The sequence below is a fragment of the Homo sapiens genome, chromosome 6, assembly GCF_000001405.40.
Source record: "Homo sapiens chromosome 6, GRCh38.p14 Primary Assembly".
NCBI lineage: Eukaryota > Metazoa > Chordata > Mammalia > Primates > Hominidae > Homo > Homo sapiens.
In genome coordinates this window covers 33,537,639-33,564,111 of record NC_000006.12, presented here as the reverse complement: position 1 = coordinate 33,564,111, position 26,473 = coordinate 33,537,639, and the positions used below count along the sequence as shown (strand labels likewise).

Genomic DNA, 26,473 nt, shown 5'->3' with positions numbered 1-26,473 from the left:
GCAAATCCAAGCTTTGCCACTTACCGCCTTTGTGAAAAAAAAATTTAACCATGGGTGGTGGCATGCTATTTTTTTTTTTTTTTTTTAGATGGAGTCTCTCTCTGTCACCCAGACTGGCATGCAATGGTGCAGTCTTGTCTTACCGAAACCTCTGCCTCCCAGGTTAAAGCAATTCTCCTGCCTTAGTCTCCTGAGTAGCTGGGATTACAGGTGCCCGCCACCACGCCCAGCTAATTTTTGTATTTTTAGTAGAGACGGGGGTTTCACCATGTTGGCCAGGCTGGTCTCAAACTCCTGCCCTCGTGGTCCACACATCTCGGCCTCCCAAAGTGCTGGGATTACAGGCTTGAGCCACCTCACCTGGCTGGTTAAATTTTTTATAGAGATGGGGTCTCCTGATGTTGGCCAGGCTGGTCTTGACCTCCTATACTCAAGCAATCCTCCCACCTCAGCCTCCCAAAGTACTGGGATAACAAGTGCAGGCCACCATGCCCAGCCAAAAATATTTTAATATAAAGAAAATAGGCTGGGCGCGGTGGCTCACACCTGTAATCCCAGCACTTTGGGAGGCCGAGGTAGGTGGATCACCTGAGGTCAGGAGTTTCAGACCAGCTTGACCAACAAGGTGAAACCCCGTCTCCACTAAAAATACAAAAATTACCCGGGCGTGGTGGTGTGCACCTGTAATCCCAGCTACTTGGGAGGCTGAGGCAGGAGAATTGCTTGAACCCGGGAAGCGGAGGTTGCAGTGAGCCAAGATGGCACCATTGCACTCTAGCCTGGGCAACAGAGTGAGACTCCATCTCAAAAAAGAAAAAAAAAGAAAGAAAAGAAAATAGGGACTGGGCATGGTGGTTCATGCCTGTATTTCCAGCACTTTGGGAGGCTGAGGTGGGCTGATCACCTGAGAGACCAGCCTGGGCAACATAGGGAACCCTGTCTCTACAGAAAAAAAAAGAAAGAAAGAAAGAAAGAAAAAAGTCTGGGTGCGGTGGCTCACACCTATAATCTCAGCACTTTGGGAGGCTGAGGTGGGTGAATGGCTTGAGCCCAGGAGTTCTAGACCAGCCTGGGCAACATAGGGAGACCCTGTCTCTTAAAAAACATACAAAAATAGCCGGGTGCAGTGGCTCAAGCCTGTAATCCCAGCACTTTGGGAGGCTGAGGCAGGTGTATCACCTGAGATCAGGAGTTCAAGACCAGCCTGGTCAACATGGCGAAACCCCATCTCTACTAAAAATACACACACACACACACACAATTAGCCAGGCACGGTGGCATGCGCCTGTAATCCCAGCTACTCAGGAGGCTGAGGCAGGAGAATCGCTTGAACCTGGGAGGCGGAGGTTGTGGTGAGCTGAGATCGCACCACTGCGCTCCAGTCTGGGTGACAGAGTGAGGCTCCATCTCAAAACATAAATAAATAAATAAATAAATAAATAAATAAATAAAATTAGCACGGTGTGGTGGCACGTGCCTGAGGTCCCAGCTACTCAAGAGGTGGAGGTGGGAGGATTGCTTGAGCCCAGGAAGCAGAGGTTGAAGTGAGTCATAATCACACCACTGCACTCCAGCCTGGGTGACAGAGTAAGACCCTGTTTCAGAAAAAAAGAAAAGAAAAAGAAAATAGCTAGGGACTTTGTTGAGTTTGTACTATGTGTGCCTGCTACTGCACTATACTGTTTATCTACTTTATCTTATTTAATTTTCACAAGTTTTTGCAGTATGCCCATTTAGCAGATAAAGAAATTGAAGTTTAGCTGTGCAGGGTGGTGGCTCCTAATCCAAGCTACTTGGGAGGCTGAGGTGGAAGCCTCACTTGAGTGAGCGTGGGAGGTTGAGGCTGTAGTGAGTTGTGATCCAGCCCCTGCACTCCAGCCTGGGCAATGGAGTGAGACCCTGTCTCAAAAAAAAAAAAAAAAAAAAAAAAAAAAAGACACCGTCTGAAAAAAAACTTTGTAGTCAGCTGAGGGTTGTCTAGGATAGCCTCAGCTGAAACAAGTCAGCTTTCTTCCATGTGTCATTCATGTCCCTTCAGCAGGTCAACCTGGGAATGTTCTGGGTGTGTTCTCATGGTGATCACCGAGGAGCAAGAGAAGAAGCAGAAACACACAGGTGGTTTTTCTTTTTCTTTTTTTGAGACGGAGTTTCGCTCTTGTTGCCCAGGCTGGAGTGCAATGGCGCGATCTCGGCTCACCGCAACCTCGGCCTTCAGGGTTCAAATGATTCTTCTGCCTCAGCCTCCGGAGTTGCTGGGATTACAGGCATGCGCCACCATGCCCAGCTAATTGTTTTGTATTTTTAGTAGAGATGGGGTTTCTCCTTGTTGGTCAGGCTGGTCTCCAACTCCCGAACTCAGGTAATCCGCCCGCCTCAGCCTCCCAAAGTGCTGGGATTACAGGCGTGAACCACTGCGTCCGGCCAGTTTTTCAAACCTCTACTTGTGTCAAGTCAGCTAACATCGTAATGGCTAAAGCAAGTCACATGGCTAAGCTCAGATTCTTCAAGAAGGTGGGGAAATAGACTCTACTTCTATTATGAAAGAAATTGCCGGGCGCGGTGGCTCACGCTTGTAATCCCAGCACTTTGGGAGGCCGAGGCGGGCAGATCACAAGGTCAGGAGATCTAGACCACGGTGAAACCCCGTCTCTACCAAAAATACAAAAAATTAGCCGGGCGTGGTGGCGGGCGCCTGTAGTCCCAGCTACTCGGAGACGCTGGGGCAGAAGAATGGCGTGAACCCGGGAGGCGGAGCTTGCAGTGAGCCAAGATCGCACCACTGCGCTCCAGCCTGGGTGACAGAGCGAGACTCCATCTCGGAAAAAAAAAAAAAAAAAAAAGGAAGAAATTGCAAATTCACACGGCAAAGGGTGTGGAGACAGGGAGGGGTGAAGACTCGGAGCCATTAATGCAATCAATATACCACAGTCTGCCCTCTGGCCACAGGATTTTTTTTTTTTTCCGAGACAGGGTCTCACTCTGTTGCGGACGCTGGAGTGCCGCGAAGGTATCACAGCTTACTGCAGCCTCGAACTCCTGCGTTCAAGTGATCCTTCCACTTTAGCCACCTGAGTAGCTGGGACCACAAGTGCGTGCCACCACGCCCAGCTAATTTTTTATTTAAATCTTTTGTAGAGACAAGGTCTCTACAAAATGTTGCCCAGGCTGGTCTCAAACTCCTGGCCTCAAGCGATCCTTCTGCCTCCATCCTGCAAAGTGCTGGGATTACAGGCATGAGCCACCACACCTGGCCTCTCTAGACACGATTACTTATGTTTTTTCTATATGCAAAATATGCTCATTCCCCATTGCAGGACCCCCAAAAGACTCATCCAATCCTGACATTAGGGTGAAAGTCCAGGATCTTGTGATCTATATCAGGCCTAGATGTGGTACTTTCTTTTTTTTGTTTTTGAGATGGAATCTTGCTTTGTCACCCAGGCTGGAGTGCAATGGCACAATCTCAGCTCACTGCAACCTCCATCTCCCAGGTTCAAGCGATTCTCCTGCCTCAGCCTCCCGAGTAGCTGAGATTACAGGCGCCTACCACCACGCCCAGCTAATTTTGTATTTTTAGTATTTTCACCATGTTGGTCAGGCTGGTCTCGAACTCCTGACCTCAGGTGATCCACCCCCCTTGGCCTTCCAAAGTGCTGGGATTACAGGCGTGAGCCACCTCGCCCGGCCGAGGCAGGCTTTGATGGTGGCTGAGATGCTTTCTCAGCTTCCTTCCTCCTGATGGAAAGCAGGCAACCCAGAGGTCTTTGTACAGTTTGAACAGTCTCAGCCCCTTTGTGTCTAGATTAGCAGTGCGGTTGTGGGTGCAATATCCTTAAAAACTTTGGAGTTTTGAGTATATCTGTATGATTAGAGTCCACCTTATGCATCAAGAACCACACCCCAAATTTTCTCGAGATATGTTTCTTTGTTGACTTAAGTCTCCACTAACTAGGTATCAACTAACTGTGTGAGGGTGCTGTGGGAGTCATGCTTTTAAAATTCACAGATGTCCTTTTGTCAGAGGGTCTACTAGGCACTGTCTTGATATTCCCAGAGAATTTAACAGTCTTCAGCCATGCCCTAGAGTGCATTTCTTTACTGGGCTAAGAGGCTAGAAATGAGAAATAAATTTTCTCTTGAGACAGTCTTGCTCTGTCACCCAGGCTGGAGTACGGTGGTGAGATCTCAGCTCACCGTAACCTCTACTTCCCAGGTTCAAGTGATTCTCCTGCCTCAGCCTTCTGAGTAGCTGGGACTACAGGGGCATGCTACCACACCCAGCTAATTTTTGTATTTTTAGTAGAGACGGGGTTTCATCATGTTGACCAGGCTGGTCTGGAACTCCGGACCTCAAGTGATCTGCCTGTCTCAGCCTCCCAAAGTGCTGGGATTACAGGTGTGAATGACCAGGCCCAGCAGGGAAGTAATTTTGTTTTTCCAACCCAGAAAATGCTGCACCCTCCACATTTCCTCTGAATTCAGCTTGCAAATTGACTAGTTCATCTCTTTAGCTCACCTCTTGTAAAAAAATTTTTTGAGATGGGGTCACCCAGGCTGGAGTACAGAGGCACGATCATGGTTCACTGCAGCCTTGACCTCCTAGGCTCAAGTAATCCTCCCACCTCAGCCTCCGGAGTACCTGTAACCACAGGAACCTGCCAGCATGCCTGGCTAATTTTAAAATTTTTTTTGTACAGATGAGATCTGTCTACATGGGCCAGACTAGTTTCGAACTCCTAGCCTCAAAGGATCCTCCTGCCTTGGCCTCCACAAGTGTTGGGATTACAGACATGAGCCATGGATCCAGCTTAGAAAACGTTATCAAGGGCTGGGCATGGTGGCTCACGCCTGTAATCCCAACACTTTGGGAGGCCCAGGCAGGTGGATCACCTGAGGTCAGGAGTTCAAGACCAGCCTGGCCAACATGGGGAAACCCCATCTTTACTAAAAAAAATACAAAAATTAGCTGGGCGTTGTGACATGCACCTGTAATCCCAGATACTCAGGAGGCTGAGGCAGGAGAATCACTTGAACCCGGGAGGCGGAGGTTGAGCCTAGATCGTGCCATTGCACTCCAGCCCTGGCAAGAGAGCAAGACTCTGTGTCAAAAAAAAAAAAAGAAAGAAAACTTTATCAAACACAGATGGTAAAAGCCAATGGACACTTTCAACATTCTGACTGGAGATTTCTTTGCTCAAATCTACAAGTTCGTTTGGTATATTTTCTTTCTTTCTTTCTTTCTTTTTTTGAGACGGACTCTCGCTCTGTCACCCAGGCTGGAGTGCAGTGGCATGGTCTCGGATCACTGCACTCCGCCTCCCGGCTTCACGCCATTCTCTTGCCTCAGTCTCTCCAAGTAACTGGGACTACAGGCGGCCACCACCATGCCCGGCTAATTTTTGTATTTTTAGTAGAGACAGGGTTTCACCGTGTTAGCCAGGATGGTCTTGATCTCCTGACCTTGTGATCTGCCCACCTCGGCCTCCCAAAGTGCTGGGATTACAGGCATAAGCCACCATGCCTGGCGGGAGTTTTGCTCTTGTTGACCAGGCTGGAGTGTGCAATGGTGCGATCTCGGCTCACCGCAACCTGGGTTCAAATGATTCTCCTACCTCAGCCTCCCGAGTAGCTGGGATTACAGGCATGTGCCTCCACCATGCCTGACTAATATTTTGTGTTTTAGTAGAGACAGGGTTTCCCCATGTTGCTCAGGGTGGTCTTAAACTCTTGAGCACAGGCGATTTGCCCACCTCGGCCTCCCGAAGTGCTGGGATTACAGGTGTAAGCCACCACGCCCAGCCACTGATGTTGTTTTTGAGACAGGGTCTTGTTCTGTCACCCAGGCTGGAGTTTCAGTGGCATTATCTCAGCTCACTGCAACCTCCACCTCTGAGGCTCAAGCGGTCCTCCTGTCTCAGCCTCCCCAGTAGCTGGGACCACAGGTCCCAGGTGCCATGATGCCTGGCTAATTTTTGTATATTTTGTAGAGACAGGTTTCATCATGTTGCCCAGGCTTGAAACTGCCTTTGTAAAAAAAAAAATGGGCACAAGGTTAGAATTATGGTTTGGGAGTCATGCAGCTAGAGGTTACAAGGTTTGTAACTTTCTCAATTGCTCCTATGGATAACATTACTATTGTAAATCCTAGGACTAGTGCTTGAGGTATTTTTCAGACCCTGCATTCTGATGGACCAGCTGACACTGCCCAAACCAGTAACCTTTACCAATAAACTGACACAGTAGGTTTCTGACCCCTATAGGAATTGATTCAGCATAAGAAGACAGCTTCATCCCCCTACGATTTCATTCCCAACCCAACCAATCAGCATTTCCCATTCCCTAGCCCCCTGCCCACCAAACTATCCTTAAAAATCCCTGGATTCCAAATTCTCAGGGAAGCAGATTTGATAAACATCTTCCATCCTTCAGCCTGGTTGGCCCTGTGATTAAACTTTCTCTACTGCAATTCCTGGTGTTCTCCGTGTTTGGCTTTTCTGGGCAGCAGGCAGGAAGAACCCAGGTGGGCAATTACAGTGGTCATAAAACCATTTATGATTTCTTCCAGCCAATGTCAACTGAGCAGTTCCGCTGACTGGGCTTGTTCATGCATCTTTTTTCTTTCTTTCTTTCTTTTTTTTTGAGACAGAGTTTTGCTCTTGTTGCCCAGGCTGCAGTGCAATGGTGCGATCTCGGCTCACTGCAAACTCCATCTCCTGGGTTTAAGGGATTCTCCTGCCTCAGCCTCCCGAGTAGCTGGGATTACAGGCATGCGCCACCACACCTGGCTAATTTTGTATTTTTAGTAGAGACAGGGTTTCCCCATGTTGGTCGGCTGGTCTTGAACTCCCGACCTCGGGTGATCCGCCCTCCTTGGCCTCCCAAAGTGCTGGGATTACAGGCGTGAGCCACCATGCCTGGCTGCACTCATGCATCTTTAATCAGGTGATTGAGGACTCCCTGGGACCTGGCTGGTATAGGATGGCCTCCCCTGCACAGCTGGGGTTCCCTCCATGTGTCTCTCTCACATCCCTCCAGCTAGCTGGCCCAGATATGACTCAGGTTAGACTGAGCATGTTTTCATGACAATTGCACGCAAGCAGGAGAGGAAGTGCAAACAAGTGCAAACACGAAAGCACTTGTTTAATCATCTGCTGGCATCAAACCTGCTAGCATTCTTTCTGAGCAGAGTCAGAAAAAAAAATTAATAAAAATAAAAAATAAATAAAAATAATGGGCCGGGCATGGTGGCTCACGCCTATAAGCCCAGCACTTTGGGAAGCTGAGGTGGGCAGGTCACTTGAGGTCAGGAGTTCCAGACCAGCCTGGCCAACATGGTGAAACCCATGTCTCTACCAAATATATATGTATGACAAATATATACATATATATATATATATATATATATATATATATATATACACATACACACACACACACACACACACACACACACACAAATTAGCCAGGCATGGTGGCACATACCTGTATTCCTAGCTACTCAGGAGGCTGAGGTAGGAGGATTGCTTGAGTCCAGGAGGCGGAGGTTGCACCACTGCAGTACCACTGCACTCTAGCCTGGATGACAAAGTGAGACTTTCTTTCTTTCTTTTTTTTTTTTTGAGGCAGAGTTTCTCTTGTGTTGCCCAGGCTGGAGTGCAGTGGCAGCAATCTGAGCTCACTGCAACCTCCACTTTCTGGTTTCAAGCAATTCTCCTGCCTCAGCCTCCCAAGTAGCTGGGATTACAGAAGCCCCCCAACATGCCCAGCTAATTTTTGTATTTTTAGTAGAGACAGGGTTTCACCATGTTGGCCGGGCTGGTCTCAAACTCCTGACCTCGTGATCCGCCCGCCTCGGCCTCCCAAAGTGCTGGGATTACAGGTGTAAGCCACCGCACCTGGCTGAGGCTATATTTCAAAAACATAAATAAATAAATAAAATCTGCGTAAATAAATGATTATTTAAGTTTTTCTTATACTCCTTAACATATCCTTTAAACAAAAGAGACAGTTGTACATACTATTTCTATTTTTGAAAACAGGAAACAGGACTGGCATGGTGGCCTGTAATCCCAGCACTTTAAGAGGTCAAGGCAGGCAAATCACCTGAGGTCGGGAGTTCAAGACCAGCATGACCAACGTGGAGAAACCCCATCTCTACTAAAAATACAAAATTAGCAGGGCGTGGTGGCACATGCCTGTAATCCCAGCTATTTGGGAGGCTGAGGCAGGAGAATTGCTTGAACCCGGGAGGCGGAGGTTGCGCTGAGCCGAGATCGCACCATTGCACTCCAGCCTGGGCAACAAGAGCAAAACAAGAGCAAGGAGAGGGTGTCTTTTTGAAGACATTTTTCTTCCTTTTCACGATACTCCCTCTCAGATATGCCTCCCTTCCCAGCTGGGCGCAGCGGCTCACGCCTGTAATCCCAGCACTTTGGGAGGTCAAGATGGGTGGATCACTTGAGGTCAGGAATTTGAGACCAGCCTGGTCAACATGGAGAAACCCCATCTCTACTAAATACACAAAAATTAGCTGGGTGTGGTGGCAGACGCCTGTAATCCCAGCTACTCTGGAGGCTGAGGCAGGAGAAAGAATCGCTTGAACCCAGGAGGCAGAGGTTGCAGTGAGCTGAGACTGTGACACTGCACTACTTAAAAACAAAAACAAAAACAAAAAACGCCTCCCTTCTCCCACTTTCTTTTTTTTTTTTTTGAGATGGAGTCTTGCTCTGTTGCCCAGGCTGGAGTGCAGTGACACTATCTTGGCTCACTGCAACATCTGCCTCCCAGGTTCAAGCAATTATCTTGCTTCAGCCTCCTGAAGAGCTGGGATTACAGGTGCATGCCACTATGCCCGGCTAATTTTTGTATTTTTAGTAGAGACGGGGTTTCACCATGTTGGACCAAGCTGGTCTCGAACACCTGACCTCAGGTGAATTGCCCGCCTTGACCTCCCAAAGTGCTGGGATTACAGGCATGAGACACCACGCCTGGCCCCTTCTCCCACTTTCTAAGAAGAGACTCTGAGATTTTTTTTTTTTTTTAGAAATGTAAATTTCTAAATGTAAACTAGGCTGAGGTCAGTGGATCACACCTATAATCCCAGCACTTTGGGAGGCCGAGGTAGGAGGATCCCTTTAGGCTGGGAGTTTGAGACCAGCCTTGGCAACACAGTGAGACCCCATCTTTACAAAAAAATTTTTTTTTACTTAGCCGAGCATGATGGTGCACGCCTGTAGTACTAGCTACTTGGGAGGCTGAGGTGGGAGGAACCCCTTCAGCCCAGGAGTTCAAGGTTACAGTGAGCTATGATCCTGTCACAGCGCTCCAGCCTAGGCAGCAAAAGGAGACCCTGTCTCTAAGGAAAGAAAAAAGGTAACTTTAAAATTCATTTAGGTAATTATCAGACTTCTTTTTAGTTGTAGGGGCAAATCAATAAGACCATTGTAGAATTATGGCAAGAAAAATATGAACTAAAAGTACTTTATTACTTTGGGAAGGAAAATAGAAATGATCAAATAAAAAAAAACACAAGATTTTTTTCTTTTTTTTAAGCTGGGACTACAGGCACACAGCCCTGAGCCCAGCATAATGTTACTTTTTTTTTTCTTTTGAGACAGAGTCTCGCTTTGTTGCCCAGGCTCGAGTGCAATGGCGAGGTCTCGGCTCACTGCAACCTCTGCTTACCGGGTTCGAGCGATTCTCCTGCCTCAGCCTCCCGAGTAGCTGGGATTACAGGTGCCTGCCATTGCGCCCAGCTAATTTTTTTATTTTTAGTAGAGATGGGGTTTCACCATCTTGGCCAGGCTGGTCTTAAACTTGTGACCTCGTGATCCACCCGCCTTGGCCTCCCAAAGTGTTGGGATTACAGGCATTAGCCACCGTGCCCGGCCCATAATGTTACTTTTTTAATGTAAAGGTTAGAAAAGAGATTTTGGAAGACTGAGATATTCTGTGTGTGTGTTTGGTTTGTTTTGTTTTTTTGAGACGGAGTCTTGCTCTGTCGCAGGCTGGTGTGCAGTGGCGTGATCTCAGCTCACTGCAATCTCTGCCTCCTGGGTTCAAGTGATTCTCCTGCTTCAGCCTCTCGAGTAGCTGGGACTACAGGTGCGCACCACCACGCCCAGCTAATTTTTGTATTTTTAGTAGAGACAGGGTTTCACCATGTTGGCCAGGATGGTCTCGATTTCTTGACCTCGTCATCTGCCTGCCTGGGCCTCCCAAAGTGCTGGGATTACAAGCATGAGCCACTATCCCCGGGCTGGAATCTTCAAGATAACTTGACTTGCCACATTTAAGAGTCTGAATTATTAGGTTTATGAGAATTATTTACATGCTGAATACTTCCTTCTTGTTTGACTTGTAAATCTACCCTGAGGAATTGGAAGTGGTTGGGAAAAAAATCAAGTATATTAAATTTGTAAATGTAGTTTAAATATTTAAGAGAATTTAATTAACTAAGTTTGTAAATGCTATGAGTAATGTTCAAGCAAATTAAATATGTCAAGCCCATGGGCTAATTGTGTATTAATCAAAGAACAAGTTATTACTCTTACTTTTATCCAAAACCTGCAAGATTTCTAAATAGAATATCAGGATATGGAAGTTAAACTTAAAAACATAAGAAGATCTGTTTTTAAGCTTACAACATTAATTGAAGATTAATTTAGGCTAGGGGCAGTGGTGCAAGCCTGTAATCCCAGCACTTTGGGAGGCTGAGGTGGGAGGATCAGTGGAGCTCAGGAGTTCGAGATCAGCCTAGGTAACATCATGAAACTCTGTCTCTACAGAAAATACAAAAATTAGCCAGGCATGTGTGGTGCGCGACTGCAGTCCCAACTACTCCTCAGGTTGAGGTGGGGGGAAGGCTTGAGCCCAGGAGGTTGAGGCTGCAGTGAGCTGTGATTGTGCCACTGTACTCCAGCCTGGGTGACAGAGTAAGACACTGTCTCTCTTTTTTTTTTTTTTTTTGAGACAGAGTCTGGCTGTGTCACCCAGGCTGGAGTGCAATGCTGCAATTTTGGCTCACTGCCATCTCTGCCTCCCGGATTTAAGCAATTCTCCTGCCTCAGCCTTCCAGGTAGCTGGGATTACAGGCGAGTGCCATCATGCCCAGCTAATTTTTTTCAATTTTTTTGGAGATGAGGTCTCACTCTGTTGCCAGGGCTGATCTTGAACTCCTGGGCTCAAAAGATTCTCCCACCTCCGCCTCCCAAAGTGCTGAGATTATAGGGCTGAGCCACCTTCCAGGCCTTAACTTTTGTAAGAATACACATTTTGGCCGGGCGCAGTGGCTCAGGCCTGTAATCCCAGCACTTTGGGAGCTCAAGGTGGGTGGATCTCTTGAGGTCAGGAGTTCGAGACCAGCCTGGGCAACATGGTGAAACCACATCTCTATTAAAAATACAAAAATTAGCCAGGAATAGTGGCACACGCCTGTAGTCCCAGCTACTCAGGAGGCTGAGGCAGGAGAATCGCTTGAACCCGGGAGGCGGAGGTTGCAGTGAGCTGAGATCGAGCCACTGCACTCCAGCCTGGGCGACAAAGCGAGACTCTGTCTAAAATAAACAAATACATACATACACATTTTGTCAGAGTAGTTTGAGGGTAGGATCCAATGAAGGGCTTAGCAAGTACCTGGCATGAAATAAAGTAAATAAATTTGCTGACTGTGCTTGCTCATGCATCTTTTTTTTTTTTTTTTTTTTTTTTTGAGATGGAGTTTTGGTCTTGCTCTTTTTGGTTATCACCTCTATATTCCACAGCACCCACAAGCTTCAATGCTTACTCTTTCAATGGTCTTTCTCTTGGTCCAGTATTTAGAAATTTGGCTTATATAATAGTAAAATCGAAATAAAAAAAATACTTTAGGCCAGATGCAGTAGCTCACACCTGCAATCCCAGCACTTTTTTTTTTTTTGAGACAGGGTCTCACTCTGTCACCCAGGCTGCAGTGTAGTGGTGCGATCTTGGCTCACTGCAGCCTTGACCTCTCAATCTTAGCCTCCCGAGTAGCTGGGACTATACGTGTGCACCACCACGCCCGGCTAATTTGTTGTTGTAGAGAAGGGTTTTCGCCACGTTGCCCATGCTGGTCTTGAACCCCTGGACTCAATCCTCCCACCTCCGTCTCCCAAAGTACTAGTATTACAGGCATGAGCCACCACATTCGGCCAATTCCAGAACTTTGGAAGGCCAAGGGCTGGTGGATTGCTTGAGCCCAGGAATTCAGGATCAGCCTGAGCAATATAGTGAGACCCAGTCTCTATCAGAATTTTTAAAAAATTAGCCAGGCTGGTGGCATGAACCCGTGGTCCCAGTTACTTGGGAGGCTGAGGTAGGAGGATTGCTTCAGCCTGGCAGTCGAGGCTGCACAGAGCTGTGATTGCACCACTGCATTCCTGCCTGGGCAGCAGAGAGAGACTCTTCTCAAAACAAAAAGAAAAAACCACACACACACAAACAAAAGTATTTGATGCTAAAAGATGTTAATTCCTGGCAAAATCTCAATTAACCAAAGATTAGGATAGTAAGGAAAAACACTAGGGAAATGGTTGTGCAAATTTGTCTCTAAAAGGATTTATGCTGTTTGCAATACCTTTAAAACAAAACAAGAAAGATAAGGCAAGGGGAAAACAAAGATAGCAAAGTGGGAGGGGGAAGATTAACAGAATGGAAAAAAAAATGCACATTCTAACATCATGTATCCTTCCTTGCCCTATAAAATTAGCTCTAAGCTTTCTTTCTTTCTGTTTTTGTTTTTTTTTTTTTAAGACAGAGTCTCTCACTGTCGCCCCGGCTGGAGTCTGGAGTACAGCGGCACGATCTCAGCTCACTGCAACCTCTGCCTCCGCCTCCCGGGTTCAAGCCATTCTCCTGTCTCAGCTTTCCGAGCAGCTGGGATTACAGGCGCCCGCCACCACGCCCAGCTAATGTTTGTATTTTTAGCAGAGACAGGGTTTCACCGTGTTGGCTAGGCTGGTCTCAAACTCCCGACCTCGTGATTCACCTGCCTCGGCCTCCCAAAGTGTTGGGATTACAGGCATGAGCCACCATGCCCAGCTTTTTTTTTTTTTTTTTTTTTTTTTTTTTTGAGACAGAGTCTCCCTCTGTTGCCCAGGCTAGAGGAAGTCGCTTGATCTCAACTCACTGCAACCTCCACCTGCTGAGTTCAAGCGACTATCGTGCCTCAACCTCCCCAGTAGCTGGGATTCCAGGTGTGTGCCACCACACCCAGCTAATTTTTTGTATTATTATTATTATTTGTATTTTTAGTAGAGACGGGTTTCACCATGTTGGCCAGGCTGGTCTCAAACTCCTGATCTCAGATGATCCACCTGCCTTGGCTTCCCAAAGTGCTGGGATTACAAGCGTGAGCCACCGTGCCCCGCCTATATTCAGTATTTAGTAGTCACATGCTATACAGGTTTGTAGCCTTGGAGCAACAGGTTTACCATAATAGTCTAGGTGTGTAGTAGACTATACTAGCTAGGTTTGTATAAGTGTACTCCATAATGTTGGTAGGACAACTGATTTGCTTAACACTGCATTTCTCGGGGCTGGGAGCAGTGGCTCACACCTGTAATCCCAGCACTTTGGGAGGCAGAGGTGGGTGGATCAACTGAGGTCAGGAGTTCGAGACCAGCCTGGCCAACATGACAAAATCCCGTTTCTACTAAAAATACAAAAATTAGCCAGGCGTGGTGGCGCACACCTGTAATCCCAGCTACTTGGGAGGCTGAAGCAGGAGAATCGCTTGAACCCAGGAGGCGGAGGTCACAATGAGCCGAGATCAAGACACTGCACTCCAGCCTGGGCAACAGAGCAAGAGTCCATCTAAAAATAAATAAATAAATAAAATAAAACAATGCGTTTCTGAGAATGTATCCCCATCATTAAGCAACACACAACTGTAGCTGAGATCCCTCAGAACTGCCCTCTTTTAACAGATAAGAATCAGTCATGAGGTTGTCCCAGCTGCTCAGGAGGCTGAGCCAGGAGGACTCTGCTCGGGCCTAGGAGTTCAAGGCTGTAATGTACTGTGATCATACCTGGGATACCTGAGAAGAGCCACTGCATTCCAGCTGGGGCAACACAGCAAGATCTGTCTGAAAAAAAAAAAAAGAATCAGACATGAGTATAGAAGTAGAAATAATATCTTACCACTAGGACCTCAAGGCTCTCCCAGGTAATAGGGGGTTCAGGAACAGCTCTAACCACCAGTGCTCTGGCCAACAGAGGGCTTGCCATACCAATAAGGGGCACAGAGGCACAGGCAAATTATCTTTCTCTCTCTCTTTTTTTTTTTTTTTTTTTTTGAGACAGAGTCTTGCTCTGTCACTCCAGCCTCCAGGCTGGAGTGCAATGGCGCACTCTCAGCTTACTGCAACCTCTGCCTTCCGGGCTCCAGCAATTCTCCTGCCCCAGCCTCCTGAGTAGCTGGCATGTACCATGACACCCAACTAATTTTTGTATTTTTAGTAGAGTCAAGGTTTTGCCATGTTGGCCAGGCTTGTCTCGAATGCCTGATCTTAAGTGATCTACCCGCCTTGGACTCCCAAAGTGCTGGGATTACAGGCTTGAGCTATCACGCCCGACCTGGCACAGGCAAATTCTAAGCCTTTTGTCTGACACAAAAATAAGACTGCTTACTAAGATAACAAGCTAAGAGGTCTAGTTTGACACATCCTACAACGTGCGGGAGGAAGAATGGGGAAGAGCCCACAGCTGGTAAGAAACTGCAGGTAAGTCCTCCAGTCAGAGGCTGTGAGTCACAGGAAAGTCCTTACTCCATAATTCTCACTAGGTGCAGTGGCTCACGCATTTAATCCCAAGACTTTGGGAGGCCAAGGCGGGAGGTGTTGCTTGAGCCCTGGAGTTCAAGACCACAGGAAGGACTTACAACATAGGAAGAGGCGTCTCTATAGAGGCTCATAAATTAACCAGGCCTGGTGGCGCACATCTTTAGTCCCAACTATTTGGGAGGCTTGAGGCAGGAGAATCCCTTGAACCCGGGAGGCAGAGGCTGCAGTGAGCTGAGATCGCGCCACTGCACTCCAGCCTGGGTGACAGAGGGAGATTCCGTCTTGAAAATAAATAAATAAAAATAAATACTGAATATAATAATACCATGGTAGGTATTTGTGTATCTAAACATGGAAAAGGTACAGTAAAAATACCACATTATAATCTTATGAGACCACCTTCTGTCATTGACCAAAACGGTAATGGGGTGCATGACTATGTTGCTTGCTTTTCTCACACCTGGAGTCTCTGTGGGTTGTCTGCACAGCAGGAGCCCAGCCCTGGGACTGACTGTAGGCTTCCAGGGTGGCCGCTCACCGCCACTGTCCTTCAGGTCATCCTAGACACACAAGAAGGACGTGCCCAGCAGGACTATATTGTTTTCCACACCTCAGAGTATAGCCTGACCCCTGAGAGAGCTTATTTCTCCAACTTCCTCAAATAGATGAAATGATTTTTTAGCTCTTTTTTGTCACTCTACTCTTGTATTGAAATGATTTAATTAGATTAAAATTGGGGGGACATTAAGGTAGAAGACTCCTACCTACAGTTTGCCAGCCCCTCATACTTTGTAGTTCAAAGAGAAGTCTCCCTATTGTTGGAGAAAGGATGAAAGGACGGGGTGGGGGTTAACTCCACCCCTGATATGAATGTGATAGAAAAGAGATTCTCAGGATATCATCTAAAAATGAAAGCAGGAAACAGATTCAGCTTTAACTACCCATTGTCAGTATTTTTGTGGTCACTAGGAGAAAAACTTTTTTTTTTTTTTTGAGACGGAGTCTCACTCACTTGTCACCCAGGCTGGAGTGCAGTGGTGCAATCTCGGCTCACTGCAACCTCCGCCTCCTGGGCTCAAACAATTCTCCTGCCTCAGACTCCCAAGTAGCTGGGTTACAGGCACAAGCCACCATGCCCAGTTTTGTATTTTTAGTAGAGACAGGGTTTCACCATGTTGGCCAGGCTGGTCTCGAGCTCCTGACCTCAAGTGATTCTCCCACCTCGGCCTCCCAAAGTGCTGGGATTACAGGCGTAAGCCACTGCGCCCAGGCTAGAAAAACATTTATCCGAGAAGTCCTTTTAGGCTAGTTTAGACTGGAAGAAAGTGGAGAGGTAGGGAGTCTTTGGCTCATCATGGGGAGAAGGAATCCTGAAATAATTGGCTGGGGTAGCTCCACCCCTAAGGAAGCAAATGGAGTATCTAGAACCAGGGGGAAGGGGCTAAGGGGTGGGAGCAGAAAAGATCACAGCTAGTTCTTGTGGGGCCAGGAGTGAAGGGGCTAACCAGCAGAGATTTGGCCTGAGATGCCTGTGCTTAACACTCAGACCCTTTTCCTTGTCCACAAACAGGATTTTCAGCTGATAAACCTGAGGTGATAAACCAGTTGGAAAGGAGAGGTCTTGTGTATCCAGGCTCGACAAAGCCACACCAGATGCCAAGAGATAGCCAGACAGGAAAATGCAGGAAGGCCTCTGGGGCCCTGTCTGTTCTGCTCTCGACTTGTACTAATCAAGACAAATAGTTGTAAAGGCTTCTGAGTTATTGCTAAGAGTATAAGCTCATTTTAATTAGTTTTATCTTCCTGATTGATTTTACAATTACCAGTGATTATCCTTTCAGGCCGTGCTCTGATTCAGGGTTACGATGAAGGAAGGTTAAGATGGGTTACTTGGGCCGAGCGCAGTGGCTCACGCCTGTAATCTCAGCACTTTAGGAGGCCGAGGTGGGTGGATCACGAGGTCAGGAGTTCGAGACCAGTCTGGCCAACATAGTGAAACCCTATCTCTACTAAAAATACAAGAAGTTAGCCAGGCATGGTGGTGTGTACCAGTAATCCCAGCTACTCGGGAGGCTGAGGCAGGCGAATTGGGTGAACCCAGGAGGTGGAGCTTGCAGTGAGCCAAGATCTTGCCATTGCACTCCAGCCTGGGCGACAGTGTGAGACACCATCACAAAAAAAAAAAAAAAAAAACAAAAAAGAAAAAACGTGGGTTTCTTGGTCAGGTGGGGTAGCTTACGCCTATAATCTCAGCACTTTAGGAGGCTGAGGTGGGAGGATCACTTGAGACCAAGAGCTCGAGGCTAGTCTGTACAACATGGTGAAACTCCTTTTCTAGAAAAAATTTTAAAAATTAGCTGGGTGTGGTGGTGCATGCCTATAGTCCCAGCAACTCCTGAAGCTGAGGAGGCAGGAGGATTGTTTGAGTCCAGGATTTTGAGGCTGCAGTAAGCTATGATTGCACCACTGCACCTCTGCCTTGGGCGACAGAGCAAGACCCTGTCTCTAAAAAAATAAAATAAAATTAAAATGTTTAGGATGTCCTGGCTAACACGGTGAAACCCCGTCTCTACTAAATATACAAAAAATTAGCCGGGCGTTGTGGCAGGCGCCTGTAGTCCCAGATACAGGCAGGAGAATGGCGTGAACCCAGGGGGCGGAGCTTGCAGTGAGCCGAGATCACGCCATTGCACTCCAGCCTGGGCGACAGAGCGAGACTCCGTCTCAAAAAAAAAAAAATGTTTAGGATGAGTTTCTTTCCACCTTCATCAGGTGGAATCCCAGTTCTCAGTGGACTTGGGATTTTGAAGTGAGCAGAGGGTCGTTCTCAGGGTTCTTGTTGTTTAGTATCTGTGTCTTTGTTTTTTTGGAAATGGAAGAAGCATAGAGAATGGGACTTTGGATCTGGAACCTCCAAATTCTCAAAAACTCTCATGTTCAGTAAGCACTGCTCTGAATCCAGTGGCCCCTCTTCTGGCATTGAGACTAAGAAAAGGGTGTCAGAGTGATGGCAATAGGACCTCCAAACCTCCTTCCTCATCTGTGCCTTAGTGAATTCCTAGGGACTGGGAAGACAATCCAGGCAGTCGTCCTAACAGAAAAAGCTGTTTTGCCCTTTTTTTTCTTTTTTCTTTTTTCTTTTTTCTTTTTTTGAGACAGAGCCTTGCTTTGTCGCCCAGGCTGGAATGCAGTGGCATGGTCTCGGCTCACTGCAACCTCTGTCTCCTGGGTTCAAGCGATTCTCATGCCTCAGCCTCCCAAGAGGCTAAGAGGCTGGGATTACAGGCGTGCAACACCACACCCGGCTAATTTTTGTATTTTTAGTAGAGATGGGGTTTCGCCATGTTGGCCAGGCTGGTCTTGAACTCCTGGCTTCAATTGATCTGCCTGCCTCGGTCTCCCAAAGTGCCGGGATTACAGGCATGAGCCACCGCGCCTGGCCTGTTTTGCCCTCTTGAAGATGAAGACCTTCCCTGGCTCTTGTGTTTGGGGGGCCAGGAGCCCAGGACTCTTCTACACTTTCCTGCTTGCCGAGGTTGGGGCCTGATACAGTACAGTATTGATGTGAACCCTACCATCCAGGCCTCTTGGGTCAGTTCTCTCCATGGGTTTGCTAAAGGCAACATAATAACCTCAGCCACCAGACGTGTAAACGGTTGAGGCTTTATTGCTTATGAAGTTAACTTAAACATTAGACAGTCAAATTCTGTTTAAAAACTAAATCCAGGCTGGATGCGGTGGCTCATGCCTGTAATCCCAGCACTGTGGGAGGCTGAGGTGGGCGGATCACTTGAGGTCAGGAGTCCAGCCTGGCCAACATGGTGAAACCCCAGCTCTACTAAAATACAAAAATTAGCCAGTCATGGTGGCGGGCGCCTGTAATCCCAACTATTCAGCAGGCTGAGGCAGGAGAATCGCTTGAACCCCGGAGACGGAGGTTGCAGTGAGCCAAGACTGCGCTACTGCACTCCAGCCTGGGCTACAGAGCGAGACCCTGTCTCAAGGAAAAAAACAAATCCAGTAGAGTCCATCCTTATTTCCATTCATTTTCACCTCCATACTCTTATGAGGAGAGAGGTTGGTTGCTAATAATGAGCCTCTCCTGGTTTAAATGAAAAACCACACCTTCCAGAAAGCAGCATATCTATTTAAATAGCATTTCCAGGACTACAAATCATTAAGAAACCTATCAGCATTGCCGACTTTTTAGAAGTCAGAGGTTACTTTCCCTGGACATAGTAGCAATCTCTGAAGTCTAAGAGTCTTGAAAGACTCTTTAAAAATAACCTCAGCAAGAGCAGTTTTATGACATTGAATATTTGCTTTCTGCAATTGTAGGAGAAGAGAGAATTTTTCCCCTTGTAATCTTGATGAGATTTTTCACTAGCATTTACGAAAGCCTGGCTTGGAATTCCATTAATTAGTACCAGAGAAGGGAAAAGAGAGGCAAATCTGATAAGCTCAAGTCTCATAACTTGAGAAAACGTCTGGATGAGATAATTATCTTTTTTTTTTTTTTTTTGAGACATAGTCTTGCTCTGTCACCCAGGCTGGAGTGCAGTGGCATGATCTCGGCTCACCGCAACCTCTGCCTCCCGGGTTCAAGCGATTCTCCTTCCTCAGCCTCCCAGGCACACGCCACCACACCAGGCTGATTTTTTGTATTTTAGTAATTTTAGTAGAGACAGGGTTTCACCACGTTGGCGAGGCTGCTCTCGAACTCCTGACCTCAAGCGATCCGCCTGCCTCAGCCTCCCAAAATGCTGGGTTATAGGCTTGAGCCACCACGCCTGGCCTTGGATGGGATAATTATCAAACAGAACACAGGAATATTTATAGATTTATTTTTTCTGTACACTCCAGTTTTGGCTTTTATTTAACATTGACTATGTAATACTCTGATACTACCACATGCTTACAACCCAGAAAGGTATACTTTTATATTAGTGTCTATAAAGACGGATTTAAAATGTGTATTTTAAACACAGCAGTTGAGCTGAGTGCATTTTATATAATATGCTGAGGTTTACCTATCCTACTTCAAACAAATTCTCAATTCCCAAGAACACGGGAATACAGTGGAGTCATGTTTTCTGCCTGTAGAATCTGCAGGATGCGTGTTAGGTAGAACACACATCAAATATAAGTTGAGTCTCAGCTGGTCCCAGCTGCTCATGTGGCCCTTAGGCCTGTGATCACAGCCTCTCCTGTCACTGCCACACAGGTGGCTCCTGGGCCAAAGGCCAAACAGTAACCCCTGGGGTCCCATGAAGAAAGGAGAGCAGAAGCTGGCTGGTGGGACAGCCCCAGGCCCAGTTCATTCCAAGTGGAGCTGTTCAGACAACAGCTCCCCGAGCTCGGGGCTGGCGTGGTATCACTCTTGTAGGGAGGAACCAGGGGCTGTGTGTCAAAGATGAACTAATTTCTACTCCATTTCCTTCTCAAACGCTTTTCCCTGTCTCTGGGAACTAGTGCCCTTGCCCTGGCTGTAGAGGCTCTCCTGCTTTCTGTTCAGGATTCCGGAGAGGAAAATTCTAAGCTCCTGTGTGTAGTAAGCCCTTGTGATAGGTCTTCTGGATTATTTAGTAGCATATGGTGGTTTGAAGATTTATTTCTGCCACGTAAGTAGATAGTTTTCAGGTGAAGCGCTGGAATTTACACTAGCCTTTGGGAACACTTTCATTTTAGTAGGGTGGCCATATGTCCCAATTTGTCTGGAGACAATGCCGGTTAAGACCCAATGTGCCAGTATAATTATTTTTATTTTCTCTGTGCCTATGCATACCCAAGTGTAATTATTAAAACTACTCCCTTTCATTCTTAGAAGTAGCCCATTGGAACCGTAAGCCATGTGGTCACTGGAATTCTAGGACAGATTTCATTTGCCCTGGTCTCGGTTCCTACTCCCTGAACCCCCTCCCCAGTCATTCTCTCTCCGACTTAACCAGTCCCGCTAATTTACCTCCAGGGCCCCTCAACTGTGCAGCCCAGGAAGCCCTTTTCACCACAGGTTGGTTGTGTAATTGGCTTCTGTCATTACTGTGGCCTGTGATGCTATGTGAGGATGAAAACCATATACTTTAATTACCTCCTGCCTAAAGGAATCATGAAAAATAGATGAATCCCAGTTGTAAACACCCTGAGGAAGATGGAGCACTGAGTGGCTGTCCTGTGCAACTAACTTCCTGAAGAGTTGTCATCACTTTAACTTGTTTTTTATTTCTGACTACGTTAAGACAAAACTCAGGGCAGCTTCAGGGCCAATGTGGGTTGTTAGGCCAGCCCAGGGTCTTGAAGAAAGTTCAACTGAGGTACAGTCACGCGCTGAATAACAGCGTTTCGGTCAATGACAGACCACATATACGATGGTGGTCTCATAAGCTTATAGTGGAGTGAAAAAACTGCTGTTGCCTAGTGGTGTCTTGGCTGTGGTAATGCCATGGAATGATGACTTAATTTTATTATTTCTGTTTTACTTTATTTATTATTATTTTGAGACAGAGTCTCACTCTGTCGTCCAGGCTGGAGTGCAGTGGCGCGATCTCGGCTCACTGCAACCTCCGCCTCCTGGGTTCAAGCGATTCTCCTGCCTCAGCCTCCCGAGTAGCTGAGGTTACAGGCACGCACCACCACGTCTGGCTAATTCTTTTTTGTATTTTTAGTAGAGATGGGGTTTCACCATGTTGGCCAGGCTGGCCTCAAACTCCTGACCTCAGGTGATCCACCCGCCTCAGCCTCCCAAAGTGCTGGGATTACAGGGGTGAGCCACCGTGCCCGGCCCATTTTATTTTATTATTTTAGTATTGTTATTTACTATTATTTTTTGAGACAGAGTCTCACTCTGTTACCCAGGCTGGAGTATAGTGGTATGATCTCGGCTCACTGCAACCTCTGCTTCCCGGGTTCAAGGGATTCTCATGCCTCAGGCTCCTGACTGGCTGGGATTATAGGCGCACACCACCATGCCTGGCTATTTTTTTTTTTTTTTTGTACAGATGGGGTTTCACCATGTTGGTTAGGCTGGTCTTGAACTCCTGGCCTCAGTGATCGACCTGCCTCGGCCTCCCAAAGTCTTGGGATTACAGGCGTGAGCCACTGTGCCTGGTCCTTTATTATTATTTTTTTTAGAGATGGGGTCTTGTTCTGTCGCCCAGGCTGGAGTTCAGTGGCATTATCATAGCTCACTGCAGCCTTGAACTCCTGGGCTCAAGTGATCCTCGCACATCAGCCTCAGAGGTAGCTAGGACTACAGGCACGTGCCACTGTGCCTGGCTAATTTTTTTTTTTTTATATTTGAGATGGAGTCTTGCTCTGTCACCCAGGCTGGAGTGCAATGGTGTGATCTCGGCTCACTGCAGCCTCCACTTCCCAGGTTCAAGCAATTCTCCTGCCTTAGCCTCCCAAGTAGATGGTATTTACAGGTGCCCAACACCATGCCTGGCTAATTTTTTGTATTTTTAGTAGAGACAGGATTTCACCATGTTGGCCAGGCTGATCTTGAACTCTTGACCTCAGGTGATCTGCCCACTTTGGCTTCTCACAGTGTTGGGATTACAGGCGTGAGCCACCGCTCCTGGCCGTTTTTGTTTTGTTTTGTTTAGTTTTTTTTTTGGGGGAGAGAGTCTCACTCTATCACCCAGGCTGGAGTACAGAGGCACCATCTCAGCTCACTGCAACCTCCGCCTCCTGGGTTCAAGTAATTCTCCTGCCTCAGCCCCCCGAGTAGCTGGGATTACAGGCACGCACCACCACACCCAGCTAGTTTTTATATTTTAAGTAGAGGGGATTTTGCCATGTTGGCCAGGTTGGTCTCAAACTCCTGACCTCAGGCATTCTGCCCACCTCGGCCTCCCAAAGTGCTGAGATTATAGGCATGAGCCACTGCACTGGCCTACATTTTTTATTTTTAGTAGAGACAGGGTTTCACCATGTTGGCCAGGCTGGTCTCAAACTCCTGACCTCAAGTGATCCACCTGCCTTGGCCTCCCAGAGTGCTGAGATTACAGGCAAGCCACCAGGCCTGGCCTAATTTTTGTATTTTTAGTAGAGACAGGGTTTCACCATTTTGGCCAGGTTGGTCTCAAACTCCAGACCTCAAGTGATCCACCCACCTTGGCCACCCAAATTTCTGCGATTACAGGCGTGAGCCACCGTGCCCAGTTTATTTTTAATTTTTTTGTAGAGATGGGGGTCTCCCTATGTTGCCCAGGCTGATCTTGAAGTCCTGGCCTCAAGTAATTCTCCCACCTCAGCCTTCCAAAGCACTGGGATGGCAAGAGTGAACCACTTTGCCCAGCCTATTCTTTTTTAAGAGATGGGGGTCTTGCTATGTTGCCCAGGCTGGAGTGCAGTGGTTCACAAATGCTATCCCACTACTGATTAGCATGGGAGTCCTGACCAGCTCTGTTTCCTACCTGGGCCAGTTCACCCCTTCTTAGGCAACCTAATGGTCCCCAGCTCCAGGGAAGTCACTATATTAATGTTGAACTTAGTGCTGACACCAGATCAGGATAGCTCACTACAGCCCAGAAATCCTTTGCTCAAGCAATCCTCCTGCCTCAGCCTCCCTCAGCCTCTAGAGTAGCTGGGACTCAAGGTGCATGCCATGGCGCCTGACTGCTTAATTTCTTTCTTTCTTTTTGAGATGGAGTCTCACACTGTCGCCTGGGCTGGAGTGCAATGGCTTGATTTCGGCTCACTGCAACCTCCACCTCCTGGGTTCACGCAATTCTCCTGCCTCAGCCTCCCGAGTAGCTGGGATTACAGGTGCACACCACCACACCCGGCTAATTTTTTGTATTTTTAGTAGAGACAGGGTTTCACTATGTTGGCTAGACTGGTCTCGAGCTCCTCACCTCGTGATCCACCCACCTCGGCCTCCCAAAGTGCTGGGATTACAGGCATGAGCCACCGTGCCTGGCCACTTAATTTCTTTATAAATTTAGTGTAGCCTAAGTGTACAGTGTTCATGAAGTCTGTAGTAGTGTACGGTAATGTCCCAGGCCTCACTACTCACTGAATGACTCACCCACAGCGAATTCCAGTCCTGCAAGCTCCATTCATGTTAAGTGCCCTATATAGGTGTACCATTTTTTAATCCTTTATGCCATATTTTTACTGTACCTTTTCTATGTTTAGATACACAAATACCATTGTGTTACAACTGTCTACAGTATTCAGTACAGTGCTGTACAGGTTTGTAGCCTAGGAGCAACAGGCTAGACAATCTAGCCTAGGTGTGCTGTAGGCTGTACCAGCTAGGTGTGAGTAAAGACACCCTGTGGTGTTTGCACAACAATGTATTTCTCAGAACATGTCCCTGTCATAATGGGGCGATGACAGTGCTTCCAGAGAGGCCTCCCTCTCCAGGAGCCACAGCTCCCATCGTTTCTTTCCCAGCTGCTTCACTCAGTTTACCATTCCCGCCTGGTGCCTAAAAAGTCTGAGTTTGTGAACTCAGCTCTAAATTTCCCTTCCTGTCTTTGTTACCTATCGTTCACGCTGGAATGAATGGAAAAGGCTTGAAGGAAAGCCTGCCAGCCGCTCAGATTGACTTTGCAAGGGGGATCACCACAGGTAAGACAGGCCTGACCCTAAGACTCAAACCACCCTATTCGCAAAGATGTCAGTGATATTAGCTAACCTTTGCTAAGTAACTCCTACTTGCCAGTCACTATTCTAGGCATTTTCCTGCTGACAACCTTAAGGGGAATGTGATTTTATTATCCCCATTTTATAGGTAAAGAAAGTGGCTGGCTGGGCGCGGTGGCTCACGCCTATAATCCCAACACTTTGGGAGGCTGAGGCGGGCAGATCACGAGGTCCAGAGATCGAGACTATCTTCGCCAACATGATGAAACCCCCTGTCTACTAAAAATACAAAAATTAGCTTGGCATGGTGGCACACGCCTGTAGTCCTAGCTACTCCGGAGGCTGAGGCAGGAGAATTGCTTGAACCCAGGAGGCAAAGGTTGCAGCGAGCCAAGATCATGCCGCTGCACTCCAGCCTGGGTGACAGAACGAGACTCTGTCTCAAAAAAAAAATTGCTCTTTATTTTCTGATTTTTTTTTTTTTTTTTTTTTTGAGATGGAGTCTGGCTCTGTCGCCCAGGCTGGAGTGCAGTGGAGCGATCTCGGCTCACCGCAAACTCCGCCTCCCAGGTTCATGCCATTCTCCTGCATCAGCCTCCTAAGTAGCTGGGACTACAGGCGCCCGCCACTGCACCTGGCTAATTTTTTGTATTTTTAGTAGAGACGGGGTTTCACCGTGTTAGGCAGGATGGTCTTGATCTCCTGACCTCGTGATCTGCCCGCCTCGGCCTCCCAAAGTGCTGGGATTACAGGCATGAGCCACAGCGCCTTATTTTCTGATTATAGAAGTAATTGTTCATTATAGAAAAATTGGAAAGTACAGAAAAATAAAGACATACATTTGCAAAATTACAAAATAAAACAAGTTATCTCTATTTCCACCCTGAAATATAATCCCATATTTAGTAAGGGTTCTTCCAGGCCTTTTTTTATTCCTGAGTATATGTATTTCTAAACACAGCTGGGATCATTTGACACATCTGTTTTGCATCCTGATTTTTAAAATGTCTTCTATTTTCCCATGGCATGTTCTGCTCTTTTACATTACTGTTATTATTTTTAAAATTAGAGACATGGTCTTGCTATGTTTCTGCCCAGGCTGGTCTTGAACTCCTGGGTTCAAGTGATCCTGCCATCTCAGCCTCCCGAGTAGCTGTGACTACAGGCATGCAGCACTCCACCCAGCTTCTTTTATATCGTTTTTAAATGGTTGCAAAGTCTTATATTATATATATATGTACTGTGATGAATTTTCTTCTTAACTGATTCCCTATTGTTGGACATTTATGTAACTTCCAAGCTGTTATTATTAACCAGCATGCCAATTTTCGATGAGAAATGTATCTGGCAAGTAAATAAGACTATTCTGCAAGTTGATCACACATCTTTTCCCTATGAGAAAGGATGTGGAAAATCTAACTGTATCACAGAATTCAAAAAAGAGGCATTGATTGATCCTAGTAACTGGAGTCAGGAAGCTGTGTCATAGCCTGTTAATATTGTATTTGGACATATATTCTGATAACATTATCTACATTGCAGCCTTCCAAATTACATCAAAGACAATGCCCTAATCATGTCAAGTTCTCCTCCACACCGTTAGAGATAGCTGGAGCTGAATGGGTTCTGCTGGTGATTAATCTTACCTCTCCTGCCACTCTCAGGGTCCTGAGTGCCCTTCACCATCATCCCCATGGACTGACACCTACACATCTTACATACTTGTCCTTTGTGTATACACACTACCTTGCAATCTTTTCCCGCATAACTTACATCTCATTTCTTTGTGTGGAAAGAATCCATATCTTTGTACCATTTCAGTATTCAATTGACAAACTGTAGCAGCTTTATACACTATTAGATGAATGTATAGATTAGTGGAAACCTGTTCACTATCCTTTTCTCTTGGAAGCATTTACAAAATGGTTTAACGCGTGTCTTTGTTTTTGTTTTTTGTTTTGTTTTGTTTTGTTTTAGTTGGAGTCTCGCTCTGTCGCCCAGGCTGGAGTGCAATGGCACAATCTCGACTCACTGCAACCTCTGCCTCCCAGGTTCAAGCAATTCTCCTGCCTCAGCCTCCT

General features: G+C 46.9%; 1 pseudogene, besides 2 other annotated features; it reads right to left on the bottom strand.

Moving 5' to 3' along the window:
* Nucleotides 1,459-1,628: an enhancer, noted in NCBI's record as "experimental_91454 CRE fragment used in MPRA reporter constructs". NCBI's record gives its function as "activates a minimal promoter by MPRAs in K562 erythroleukemia cells, with activity observed for both the introgressed and non-introgressed 6:33530346 variant alleles {active_cell/tissue: K562}" and the evidence as "EXISTENCE:reporter gene assay evidence [ECO:0000049][PMID:34662402]".
* Nucleotides 20,669-20,838: an enhancer, noted in NCBI's record as "experimental_91452 CRE fragment used in MPRA reporter constructs". NCBI's record gives its function as "activates a minimal promoter by MPRAs in K562 erythroleukemia cells, with activity observed for both the introgressed and non-introgressed 6:33511136 variant alleles {active_cell/tissue: K562}" and the evidence as "EXISTENCE:reporter gene assay evidence [ECO:0000049][PMID:34662402]".
* On the bottom strand, nt 23,112-23,414 carry RN7SL26P (RNA, 7SL, cytoplasmic 26, pseudogene; annotated as a pseudogene).